At 34.7% G+C, this 14,842-nt stretch overlaps 1 protein-coding gene across 8 annotated transcripts in view; it reads right to left on the reverse strand.

Annotated features, from left to right (window-relative positions):
• LIPI (lipase I) overlaps positions 1 to 14,842 on the reverse strand; it is a 102,144-nt gene that overhangs the window by 82,738 nt on the left and 4,564 nt on the right. The window lies entirely within an intron of this gene.

A 14,842-nucleotide genomic window follows, 5' to 3' on the forward strand; every position in this document is an offset into this window, starting at 1 on the left:
GGAGGTACACAGGCAATTTTAAATAAATAGAGAACTAAGTATATTCTATACAAAATAAAAAGAAAATAGGTTGGTGTGTTATAGTGCAATAATGGCACCAATTCACCACTCCCTGAATCCATCTCATTTCTCTTGGAAATTTTAGTTACATCATAAGTGGGGTGACTTGTTCCACTCCTTGATATGGACACAAATGTAGGGCGTGCCCTAGAAAATAGAACCTTAGGAAACTTAATGCAAGCAGAGGCTTAAAATCAGCTTGTGTATGTGGGCTTGGACGTCCTAACCTCTGCTATCACCACAAAAGCATCCATAGTCTGGCCTGTTAGAAAAGGAAAGACAGTTGTAACAGTGCAAAGTCCTCCAATGTGCTAGGTTCTAGTCACCCCAGCTGACTGACAGTCATTCAATAGCCAGACATGAATTGAACCAAGAAAAACAGTGTTACCTAACCAACTCCCATATGACTCCACAAGTGTGAGTAACAGCTGCTTAACATCAAATCCCACTGAGGGTTAAGAGTTTTATTTTATTTTTATTTTATTTTGGCATTATTGTGACATCATATAGTCGATTTCATCAGCAACATTAATATCAAGTAAAGAGAATAAAAACAAAAGTCATCAAATGATACAGTGGGCACGGTGGCTAACGCCTGTAATCTCACCACTTTGGGAGGCCGAGCTGGGTGGGTCACCTGAGATCAGGAGTTCGAGATAAGCCTGGACAACATGGTGAAACCTCATTTCTACTAAAAATACAAAAATTAGCTGGGTGTGGTTGTGGGCGCCTGTAATCCCAGCTACTTGGGAGGCTGAGGCAGGAGAATCACTTGAACCTGGGAGGTGGAGGCTGCAGTGACCGAGTTCACACCACTGCACTCCAGCCTGGGTAACAGAGCAAGACTCTGTCTCAAAACAAACAAAGAAACAAACAACAACAACAAAAACAGTTATCAAATGACACACAAAAAAGTTAAACTAATGTATTGTCAAACTCTTAAGGAACATTAAATTGATTCAATTCTACTAGATTTAGGAATAGAAAGAAAAATAAAATTCTAGACAACAAAAACTTACAGAAATCCCTGATGAGATTATAAGTGGACTCTTCAGCAGAAACTTTGCAGGGCAGAAGGCAATGGAAAGATATATTTTAAATGTTGAAAGAAAAACTATCAACCTAGAATTCCATATCCAACAAAATTGTCCTTTAAAAATGAGGAAGAAATTAAAACATTCCAACATTCCCACACAAGCATAAGCTGGGAATTCCTTACCTCCAGACCCACTCTACATGAAATGTTAATGCAAGTCCTTCACATTTAAAAGAAAGTACACTAGACAAGTAACTAGAAGTCATACAAAAATACAAAAATATAAGTTTCTGTGGTAAAGACAAATATATGACAAATAAAAACAGTTTTGCTTTGTAACTTTACTTTTTATTTTCTACAGGACTTAAAAGACAAATGAATAAAAATAATTATGAATGCATGTTAATGGGTACACAATATATAATGATGTAATTTGTGTCATCGGTAAAATTAAGTAGGGGAGAGTGGAACTGTAAAGAAGTAGAGAATTTTGTTATGGTATTGGAGTTAAGTTAGTATCAATTTTAAAAAGATAATGATTTTGGGCTATTATTTGTAATCCTCAATGTAATCAAAAAGAAAACATCTATAGAATATTTAAGAAAGAAAATGAGAAGAGAATCAAAACACGCTGCTACCAAAAAAATCAATTAAACACAAAGAAAGGCAGTAGTGGAGGAAATGAGGGACAAAAAGGCTTTAAGACATACAGAAAACTAATAACAAAGTGGTAAAAATAAGTGCTTTGCTATCAATGATAATTTTAAATGTAGGTAGACTAAACAACCCCCCCAACTGAAAACATATTGGCAGAATGAATAAAAATCAGGACCAGACTATATGTTACCTACAAGAGACTCAGTTTAGATTTAAAGACATATAGGCTGAAACTTAAAGAATGTAAAAAGATATTCAATGCAAAATGTAACTAAAAGTGAGCAGAAATGCTGCACTAACATCAAGCAAATTAACTAAGTTAAAATCTGTTACAAGAGACAAATATATTAAAATGCTGAAACAGTAAAAATTCTTAGAAGAAAACAAGGGGGAAACATTCATACCTTGGATTTGGCATTGATTTCTTGAATATTACAAGAACAGAACCACAGGCGACAACAGAAAAAAAAAATGAGTAAATTGGACTTAATCAAAAGTAAAACTTTTATGCATCAAAGGACATTATCAACAAAGTAAAAAGGCAACCCACTGAATGTGAGAAAATATTTATTAATCATATATCTGATATGGATTAATTAATTAATATCAGAATATTATAATGAACTTCTATCACTCAACAACAAAAACACAAACAACCCAATTAAAACTGGGCAAAGACTTAAATTGACTTATCAATGAAGATATCCAAAAGTTCCATAAGCTTATGAAAACAAGCTCAATATCACTATCACTAATAATTGGGGAAACAGAAATCAAAAGTATAATGAGATGCCACTTCCTACCTATTATGATACTTGCTAAAAACACACACACACAAAAATGGAAAATAACAACTGTTGGTGAGGATGTACAGAAATTGGAACCATTGTGCATTGCTGATGGGTTATAAAATGGTGTAGCTGCTGTGGAAAATGGTATGGTGGCTCCTCAAAAATTGAAAATAAACCTACCATATTATCCAGCAATTCCACTTCTGTATATACACCCAAAAGAATTGAAAACAGTAACTGGAAAATATATTTGTATACCCATGTTTATAGAAGCATTATTTACAATAGCTAAAAGGTGGAAGCCACACAAGTATCCATCAACAGGTGAATGAACAAAACCTGGTAGATATCTAGAATGGAATATTGTTCAGCTTTGAAAAGGTGAAATTGACACATACTACAATAAGAATAACTTTGAAGACATTATGTCAAGTGAAAATAAACTGGACATAAAAGGACAAATACCATATGATTCAATTTAAATGAGATACCGAGATCAGTCAAATTTATAGAGACGGAAAGTAGGATTGTGGTTGCCCTGGGCTGAGGGAAAAGGGGAAATGAGGAGTTATATTTAATAGATATAGAGTTGATGGGTACAGAATTTGAGTTTTGAAAGATAAAAAATTCTGGCGATGGATGATGATCATGGTTGCATGACAGTGTGCATGCAGTTAATGCCACTAACCTATAAACTTAAAAATGGCTAAAATAATAATTTTTTCTGTGTGTTTGACACAATTGAAAGAAAACAAAACAAAACATTAAGAATCCAATTCCTGTCATTATAGATATCTCATCCCAGATTTGCCTTACTGCTGTAAACAACCAGAACAGTGGATAAACTATATGGGAAAAAAATTTAGACACTGGACAACAAAAAACACAGAATTGTGATTGCTGAAAGGGAAGCAATGTATTTGAACCCTATAAACTCATAGCTTTCTGCTTGGAGGCCATTTCCAGACTGCTGTGTAAAAAGGGCTCAATTAATCAGAGTATAGCAGTCTTGTCAAGTCGGGGAGAAACATCAGAGTCTGGGAAGTCTGAGACAACTAGAATTTGAAAGGCAAAGTGTCAGAGAGGAAGGAGCCAGGCAGAAGAAAAACTCTGAAATCTGCATAGGGGTCTCTTATATCTGGATGTTGCTGGATCCATATGTTGCTGGATATGATCCTTTGCATACATGGGATAGAATCACAAAGAGCTGAAAGCTGAACAATTTTCGAGGTCACATTAGACTAGGAGAGATTGAAGTTGCAACTAGGCAAAGTAGGAAGACCTTAATAAATGCAGGGACATTCAGTAGGATCCCCAGAATGGTCAGACTTTAGTTTAAATGGCACTAAACCAAGTCTAGAATAAAAGAGAACTTAGAGTCATCCTCCTTCTCTCATTCTCCAAGCTCTGCTTGCTTTCATTCAGCCTCATTATCTGGCAAAGGACAGGCTATGCATATAAAATATTTAAGGAAAACATTAACAATCTTGGCATAGGCAAAGGACTCTAAGATACGATACACAGTAAACATGAAACAGAAAAAAGTGATAAATTGGGCTTTTACATAATAATACATATCTTCTAAAAGGACACTGTTAAGAATATGAATATGCAGACTTGTGTATCTGAAAAATACTTGTATCTAGACTAACATGTATATGTATTATAATAAGAAAATTCAATGTTTCAATCGGCAAAAGAATTAAAGACATTTTACAAAAGATGGCATAATGTCTAAGAAGCTCAAGAAATAATACTCGACATCACTAGTCATCAAAACAATGTGAATTAAAACCAAAATAATATACCACTACATACCCAGGAGAATGGCTAACATTAAAAACTGACAAAACCAATGAGGATGTAAAGCAACTGAAACCCTTGAACATTGCTGGGGGAAATGACAAAATGATACAATTATTGTTAGTTTCTTATAAGGTTACATGCACTTATATGACCCGAAAAATTAACTTGTGGATGTTAATGCATGAGAAATAAAAACATGTCCTTACCACATTTACGAGTTCGTAGCGTTTTTTTTTTTTACATGACACCAAATTGTAAAAAAAAAAAACAAAACAAGAAGTATATGGGTAAATAAACTGTGGCATGTCTGTGTAATTTAATACTACCCAGCAATAAAAAGAAATAAACTTTTTATGCATGCAAAAACTTTGATGAATCACAAAAGCATTATGCTGAGCAAAAGACTCCAGAAACAAAAAAGTACATATTTTAAATTTTCATGTATATGAAATTCTATAAAAGAAATATTTAATCTAGCGTCATAAAGAAGGTCTGGGTTATATCGAACCAGAGGTGTGGAAGGGATTAATTGCAAAAAGCTAACTAACTTTTAAGGGTGCAGGAAGTGTTTTATATCTTGATTTTATGGTTGTTATATAAGTGCACATAAGAAGTATGGTGCACCTATTTTTTCAAAACTCATTAGGCTTGGTGCAGTGGCTCACATCTGTAATCCCAGAACTCTGGGAGGCCAAGGCAGGAGAATAGCTGGAGGCTAGGAGTTCAAGACAAGCCTGAGCAAGGTAGCAAGATGATGTCTTTACAAAAAAAAAGTAAAAATCTAGGTCTGGTAGTGCACACCTGTGGTCCTGCCTACTCAGGAGGCTGAGGTAGGAGGATTGCTTGAACCCAGAAGATCAAGGCTGCAGTGAGCCATGGTAGCACCACTGCACTCCAGCCTGGGCAACAGAAGGAGAACCTATCTCAACAACAACAACAAAAAATAATCAAAGTACATTTAAATGTGTGTACATTTTATTGTATTTATAGTAAACATCAATAAAATTAGTTTTAAAAAACATAGTAAAGGTCCAATACTTTTTAAATAATAGAAAAAATATAAAGTTCAACAAATAATTCTTAAAACCTGGAATAACCCTAATATCAAACATAAAGATAGGACAAATACACACACACACACACACACACATACACCAGATAAATGAGATATAAGTCATTGTAACCCATACAACAATCTAATGGCAAAATTCCCAAATCACAAAAATACAGAGCATAAGAACAAAAAAATAATTTATACTATTTTAAATATAAGTTAAAATAGAAATATAATTTATTAAAATAACAGAATGCTTTTTTATTTTATGCCAATTGGAATCATCATACTAATGATAAAACACTAGGGCATATTTCCATTAAAATTAAGAAAGTATAAAAAGTGCTATCATACTATGTATTATTTTTTAATATTCTAACTTAGCATTAAGATTTGAAAAGTAGGAAGCTAAAAATCATGATAAAATGTTGCAGGTGCTGACAAACAAAATAGCCAGTATAGAGGATAATGTAACTGACTGGCTAGAGCTGAAAAACACACTACAAGAATTTCATAATGCAATCACAGGCATTAATAGCAGAATAGACCAAGCAGAGGAAAGAATCTCCGGGTTAGATTCTTTCTGAAATAAGACAGGCAGACAAGAGTAGAGAGAAAAGAATGAAAAGGAAGAACAAAACCTCAGAGAAATATGGGATTATGTAAAGATACCAAATAAATCTATGACTCACTGGTGTACCTGAAAGAGATGAGGAGAATAGAACAAAATTGGAAAACATATTTCAGGATATCATCCAGAAAAATTTCCCCAACCTACCGGAGAGGCCAACATTCAAATTCAGGAAATGCAAAGAACCTCAGTAAGATACTTCACAAGAAGATCATCCCCAAGACACATAATCATCAGATTCTCCAAGGTTGAAATGAAAAAAAAAAATGTTAAAGGCAGCCAGAGAGAAAAACCAGGTCACCTACAAAGGGGAGCCATCAGACTAACAGAGCACCTTTCAGCTGAAACCCTACAAGCCAGAACAGATTGGGAGCCAATGTTCAAGATTCTTAAAGAAAATAAATTCCAGTCTAGAATTTCATATCTGGGCAAACTAAGCTTCATAAGCAAAAGAGATATAAGATCTTTTTCAGACAAGCAAAGGCTGAGGGAATTTGTTACCACCAGACCTGCCTTACAAGAGCTCTGGAAGAAAGCACTAGATATGGAAAGGAAAGATCTTTACCAGCCATTACAAAAATATACTGAAGTACACGACCAGTGACACTATAAAGCAACCACATAAGCAAGTCTGCAAAATAACCAGCCAACATCATGAGGACAGGATAAAATCCACATATATCAATACTAACCTTAAATGTCAATGGGATAAATGCCCCAATTGAAAGACACAGAGTGGCAAACTGGATAAAGTGCCAAGACCCATTTGTATGCTGTCTTCAAAAGACCCATCTCACATGCAATGACAAACATGGGCTCAAAATAAAGGGATGGAGAAGAATCTACCAAGCAAACATAAAACAGAAAAAAAATAGGGGTTGCAATCCTAGTTTCTGACAAAACAGATTTTAAACCAACAAAGATTAAAAAAAGACAAAACATTACATAATGGTAAAGGGTTCCATTCAACAAGAAAATCTAACCATCCTAAATATATATGTACCCAACACAGGAGCACCCAGATTTGTAAAGCATGCTCTTTCTCAGAGATCTTCAAAGAGACTCAGAATCCCACACAATAATAATGGGAGACTTCAACAACCCACTGATAATATGAGATACATTATTGAGACAGAAAATTAATAAAGATATTTAGGATCAGAACTCAGCACTGGGTCAAATGGACCTGATAGATATCTCCACATAAAACAATAGAATACACATTTTTTTCAAGGCCACATGGCAAATAGTCTAAAATCAGACACATAATTGAAAGTAAAACACTCCTCAGCAAAACAAAAGAAATGAAATCATAACAAAAAGTCTCTCATACCACAGTGTAATCAAATTAGAAATTAACACTAAGAAATTCACTCAAAATGATACAATTACATGAAATAGAATAGCCTACTCCTAAGTGAATACTGGGTAAAATTAAGGTTTCAAGAAATTATTTGAAACTAATGAGAACAAAGATGCAACATACCAGAATCTTTGGGACACAGCTAAGGCAGTGATAAGAGAGAAATTGATAGCACTAAATGACCACATCAAAAAGTTAGAAAGATCTCAAGTTAACAATCTAACATCACAACTAAAAGAACTAGGGAACCAAGAACAAACAAATCACAAACTAGCAGAGACAACAAATAACCAAAATCAGAGCTGAACTGACGGAGACTGAGAAATGAAAAACTATTCAAGAGATCAATGAATCTAGGAGGTGGTTTTCTGCAAAAAAAAATACAATAAATAGACTGCTAGCTAGACTAATAAAGAAGAAAAGGAGGAGAGTCAAATAAACGGAATCAGTAACAAGGGTTATATTACTACTTAACCCACAGAAACACAACCACCAGAGAATATTATGGACACTTCTATGCATATCAACCAGAAAATCTAGAAGAAATTGATAAATTCCTGGACAAATACATCCTCCCAAGACAGACTTCAGGAAGAATTGGAATCCCTGAACATACCAGTGATGAGCTCTGAAATTTAGGAATAAATAGCCTACCAACCAAAAAAAAAAAGCCTAAGAAAAGTCTGGGACCACATGTATTCACAGCTGAATTCTACTAGATATAAAAGAAGAGCTGGTACCATTCCTACTGAAACTGTTCCAGAAAAAATGAGGAGGAGGGACTCCTCCCTAAATCATTCTATGAAGCCATCATCATCCTGATACCAAAATCTGGCAGAGATTTAACAACACCACAAAAAACTTCAGGCCAATATCATTGATGAATATCAATGCAAAAATCCTCAACAAAATACTGGAAAACTGAATCCAGTAGCACATCAAAAAGCTTATCCACCATGATCAAGTAGGCTTTATCCCTGAGATGGAAGGTTGGTTCAACATACACAAATCAATAAATGTGATTCATCACATAAACAGAACTAAAGACAAAAACCACATGATTATCTCAATAGATGCAGAAAAGGCCTTCAGTAAAATTCAACATCGCTTCATGCTAAAAACTCTCAATAAACTATGTATTGAAGGAACATGCCTCAAGATAATAAGAGCCATATATGACAAACCCACAGCCAACATCATACTAAATGTGTAAAAGCTGAAAGCATTCCCCTTGAAAACCAGCCAAGACAAGGATACCCTCTCTCACCACTCCTGTTCAACATAGTATTGGTCCTGACCAGGGCAATCAGGCAAGATTTGAAAGAAATAAAAGGCATCCAAATAGGGAGAGAGGAAGATGAACTACCACTGTTTGCAGACAACATGATCCTATCTCTAGAAAACCCTATAGTCTCTGCCCAAATGCCTCTTAAATTGATAAAGAAGAACTTCAGCAAAGTCTTAGGATACAAAATCAATGTGCAAAAATCACTATTATTCCTATACACCAACAAAGTCAAGCCTAGAGCCAAATCAGGAATTAACTCTCATTCACAATTGCCACAAAAAGAATAAAATACCTAGGAATACATCTAACTAACTAGGGTAGTGAAAGGTCTCTACTAGGAGAACAACAAAACACTGCCCAGATAAATCAGAGATGGCACACAAAAATAATCGAAAAACATACCATGCTCATGGATAGAAAGAATCAGTATCATTAAAATGACCATACTGCCCAAAGCAATTTATAGATTCAATGTGATTCCTATTAAACTACCATTGAGAGTATTCACAGAATGAGAAAAAAAAAACTATTTTAAAATTCACATGGAACCAAAAAAGGGCCCAAATAGCCAAGGCAATCCTAAGCACAAAGAACAAGGCTGGAGGCATCACACTACCTGACTTCAAACTATACTACAGGGCTACAATAACCAAAACAGCATGATCCTAGTACAAAAGCAGACACATAAACCAGTGGAACAGAGTAGAGAACCCAGACATAATGCTGCACACCTACAACTAGCTGATCTTCAACAAACCTGCCAAAAACAATGGAAAGGATTCCCTGTCGAATAAGTGGTGCTGGGATAACTGACTAGCCATATGAAGAAGATTGAAACTGGACTCCTTCCTTACATCATATACAAAAATTAACTGAAGAGGGATTAAAAACATAAAATGTAAAACCCAACACTACAAAAGCCCTGAAAGACAACTTAGGCAATACCATTCAGAACATAGACACAGGCTAAGATTTCACGACAAAGACACCAAACGCAATTGCAACTAAAACAAAAATTAACAAGTGGGATCTAATTAAACTAAAGAGCTTCTGCACAACAAAAGTAACTATCAACAGACTAAACAACCTACAGAATGGGAGAAAATTTTTGCAAACTATGCATCCAACAAAGGTCTAATATCCAGAATCTATAAATCTATAAGGAACTTAAACAAATTTACAAGAATAAAAACTAACAACTCCATTAAATAGTGGGCAAATGACATGAGCACATCAAGAAGCTTATCCACCATGATCAAGTGGGCTTCATCCCTGGCATGCAAGGCTGGTTCAACATACGCAAATCAATAAAAGTAATCCAGCATATAAACAGAACCAACGACAAAAACCATATGATTATCTCAGTAGATGCAGAAAAGGCCTTTGACAAAATTCAACAACCCTTCATGCTAAAAACTCTCAATAAATTAGGTATTGATGGGACGTATCTCAAAATAATAAGAGCTATCTATGACAAGCCCACAGCCAATATCATAGTGAGTGGGCAAAAACTGGAAGCATTCCCTTTGAAAACTGGCACAAGACAGGGATGCCCTCTCTCACCAATCCTATTCAACATAGTGTTGGAAGTTCTGGCCAGGGCAATCAGGCTGGAGAAGGAAATACAGGGTATTCAATTAGGAAAAGAGGAAGTCAAATTGTCCCTGTTTGCAGATGACGTGATTGTATATCTAGAAAACCCCATTGTCTCAGCCCAAAATCTCCTTAAGCTGATAGGCAACTTCAGCAAAGTCTCAGGATACAAAATCAATGTGCAAAAATCACAAGCATTCTTATACACCAATAACAGACAAACAGAGAGGCAAATCATGAACTCCCATTCACAATTGCTTCAAAGAGAATAAAATGCCTAGGAATCCAACTTACAAGGGATGTGAAGGACCTCTTCAAGAAGAACTACAAACCACTGCTCAATGAAATAAAAGAGGATACAAACAAATGGAAGAATATTCCATGCTCATGGGTAGGAAGAATCAATATCGTGAAAATGGCCATACTGCCCAAGGTAATTTATAGATTCAATGCCATCCCCATCAAGCTACCAATGACTTTCTTCACAGAATTCGAAAAAACTATTTTAAAGTTCATATGGAACCAATAAAGAGCCCACATTGCCAAGTCAATCCTAAGCCAAAAGAACAAAGCTGGAGGCATCATGCTACCTGACTTCAAACTATACTACAAGGCTACAGTATCCAAAACAGCATGGTACTGGTACCAAAACAGAGATATAGATCAATGGAACAGAACAGAGCCCTCAGAAATAATGCCGCATATCTACAACCATCTGATCTTTGACAAACCTGAGAAAAACAAGAAATGGGGAAAGGATTCCCTATTTAATAAATGGTGCTGGGAAAACTGGCTAGCCATATGTAGAAAGCTGAAACTGGATCCCTTCCTCACCCCTTATACAAAAATTAATTCAAGATGGATTAAAGACTTAAATGTTAGACCTAAAACCATAAAAACCCTAGAAGAAAACCTAGGCCATACCATTCAGGACATAGGCATGGGCAAGGACCTCATGTCTAAAACACCAAAAGCAATGGCAACAAAAGCCAAAACTGACAAATGGGATCTAATTAAACTAAAGAGCTTCTGCACAGCAAAAAAAACTACCATCAGAGTGAACAGGCAACCTACAGAATGGGAGAAAATTTTTGCAATCTACCCATCTGACAAAGGGCTAATATCCAGAATCTACAATGAATTCAAACAAATTTACAAGAAAAAAACAAACAAACCCATCAAAAAGTGGGCGAAGGATATGAACAGACACTTCTCAAAAGAAGACATTTATGCAGCCAAAAGACACATGAAAAAATGCTCGTCATCACTGGCCATCAGAGAAATGCAAATCAAAACCACAATGAGATACTATCTCACACCAGCTAGAATGGTGATCATTAAAAAGTCAGGAAACAACAGGTGCTGGAGAGGATGTGGAGAAATAGGAACACTTTTACACTGTTGGTGGGACTGTAAACTAGTTCAACCATTGTGGAAGTCAGTGTGGCGATTCCTCAGGGATCTAGAACTAGAAATACCATTTGACCCAGCAATCCCATTACTGGGTATATACCCAAAGGATTATAAATCATGCTGCTATAAAGATACATACACACTTACGTTTATTGCAGCACTATTCACAATAGCAAAGACTTGGAACCAACCCAAATGTCCATCAATGATAGACTGGATTAAGAAAATGTGGCACATATACACCATGGAATACTATGCAGCCATAAAAAAGGATGAGTTCATGTCCTTTGTAGGGACATGGATGAAGCTGGAAACCATCATTCACAGCAAACTATCACAAGGACAAAAAACCAAACACCGCATGTTCTCACTCATAGGTGGGAATTGAACAATGAGAACACATGGACACAGGAAGGTGAACATCACACACTGGGGCCTGTTGTGGGGTGTGGGTAGGGGGGAGGGATAGCATTAGGAGATATACCTAATGTTACATGATATTTAATGTAACATTAATGTTAATGGGTGCAGCACACCAACATGGCACATGTATACATATGTAACTAACCTGCACGTTGTGCACATGTACCCTAAAACTTAAAATATAATAAAAAGAGAAAGAAAGAAAATGTGGTACATATACACCATGGAATACTATGCAGCCTTAAAAATGAATGAGATCATAGCCTTCACAGGGACACGAATGGAGCTAAAGGCCATTATCCTTAGCAAATTAACACAGAAACAGAAAACCAAATGCCACATGTTCTCACTTCTAAGTGGGAGCTAAATGCTGAAATCACATGGACACATGGGGGAGAACAACACACACTGGGCCCTGTTTGTGGGGGTTATGGGGAGCGAGAGCATCAGGAAGAATATCTAATGGATGCTAGGCTTAATATGTGTACTGGTATAAATAAATGTAGTGGTATTTAATTCAAAAATTTTCAGTTATATGATATAATCAATTACTATTTTTTGAAGGATGAGTGGGTTTAAGCCGGTTTAAACTAGGTTCCTATGATTTGCAAATTAGTCTTTTTTTTAAAAAAGAGGTAGAAGGGTTTGGGAGGAGAGAGAGAAAAGAAGGAAAAGAAAACAGAAAGAAGAGGAAAAGAGAAAAGAGGAAAAAATGAAAAAAGAAATTTTTAAAAATACAGTACTGAAATACACCATGATTGAATATAAGCATTAATATCATGAAGTAAATTCTGCTCAAATTAATTTATATGTGCAGTGCAATTCTAAAATAATCTCAATACAATAACTAAGGAGAGGCAGAAACTGTATAAGAAAAATAAATGACATTTTGAAGATAATAGGACCATGATTAAAATTATGTTCACATAATAAACCAATTAAAAAGAGGCCTGTGAAACAGAACCAAAAATAGTTTAATGAAATAGAATGGGGACACCCATAAATATATCATTTTAACTATAATAATTATGGCAATTAAAAGCAGTCAAAGGTGATGGATTTTTAAATAAACAATGCTAGGATAATTATTTGATTCTAGTTATATTAAAGTATTCCATGTAAAAGTAAAATCATATGAACTAGAAGAAGGACACAGTTAATATATATATGATCTCAGATTGAAGAATAATTTTTCAGCATAAAAACAAAGGAAGAAACCAGGAAGCCAATAGATTTCATAGCACATACATTTAAAACATCTGTACATAAAGAAACACTATAAACTAGACAAAAGACAAAAAATGAACTACGGAAGTGTTTTCAATATAAGGTAGGAAAGGAACTAATATATATATACAAAACCATAAATGAGAAAAAAGAAAAAGAATACTATAGTTGAACACCAGGTAAGGGATATAAACAGATATTTTCTAAAAATATTCAAAGAGTTCATAAATGTATTAAACATATGCTTAGTCTCCTTAAAAAATCAATAAATTTTAATTAAAATAAAATTACCATATCATTTTTACCTTTATACTCATTGACTACTAACATCAATGTATATTGCAACATTTCAATACAGAATATTTAGGATTCAATTAAATACATGGAAATTATAGACTGGAAAAATAAATTATCATGTATTTCTAAGATGGGGACTATGCAGCATTTAAGAAATTATGTTTCTGAAAACTAAGGATAACATCAGAAAGCACGTATTATGTAAAATGAAATACAATAAGATAATAAAAACCATACACATGAACCATATGAATATATATTTCTGCATATATAGCCCATATTTATATAGTACTCATTTTATCCATGATATAGCGTATATATAATACACTGTAAACACATGTATATATTTGTGCACATACCTCCCCCCACACACACATCTTTATTGGGTAAGATATTAACCAACACAAATGTAGTTTGCAGTGATGCTGATTAAATTGTGTTCTCAGTTTATCTGTATTTCTCTGTGTGATTTCTATTGTCTGTATTTTAATATTTTTAGTTTCCTATGTCTAAAATATTCATTTCTTAGTTTAATGAGAAAAAATAGATTTAATAGACTTCAGTTAATTAAGAATAAAAATTGCCAAAATGAATGGTATCAGCAAAAACTGAATATATCTAAAACAGAAAGATTAGTATTAATTTTTGTACCTGTTTGAAAAATTAACAAATTGAGGATCTGAGAAATAGACTAAGTAACTCTATTGTGATTCAAAATTCACTAGCAGGTACATAATATAGAATTTTATTTCCAAAGATGTAGGAAGATAATGACTCTAGCAGTAATCTCAACAGAGAGGTAAGCTGAGAAATAATACTGAAAATCTTATTAGGTTTCAAATTATAGAAGCAGCAAAAATGTTAAAAATACCAAAGACACATGGGGAAGTTATAAATAATCATTGTAGGTTGTCCAGCATTCTCTCTGAAACATATTTCCATTACAGTTACAATGCCTGTGAAATTGAGAGCAAGGAGATTAAAACAGACAGTCCAGAGGCAGGCATAGTGCCCTGGACGTGAGCAGCTGAGACTCAAGTACCTCTAGCCTCTCTCAAACATCTCTTGTGACTCTGAGCAAGTTATTTTACCTCTCATCTCTGAGTCTCAGTTTCCTCATGTTTAAATGGAAGGAGTTGAAAGAAATGGTCTCCTGTTACTGTAACATTCTTTGATTTCAAATGCTTTTTCATGCTGGGCAAG

This window comes from Homo sapiens, chromosome 21, assembly GCF_000001405.40.
Source record: "Homo sapiens chromosome 21, GRCh38.p14 Primary Assembly".
Taxonomy (NCBI): Eukaryota; Metazoa; Chordata; class Mammalia; order Primates; family Hominidae; genus Homo; species Homo sapiens.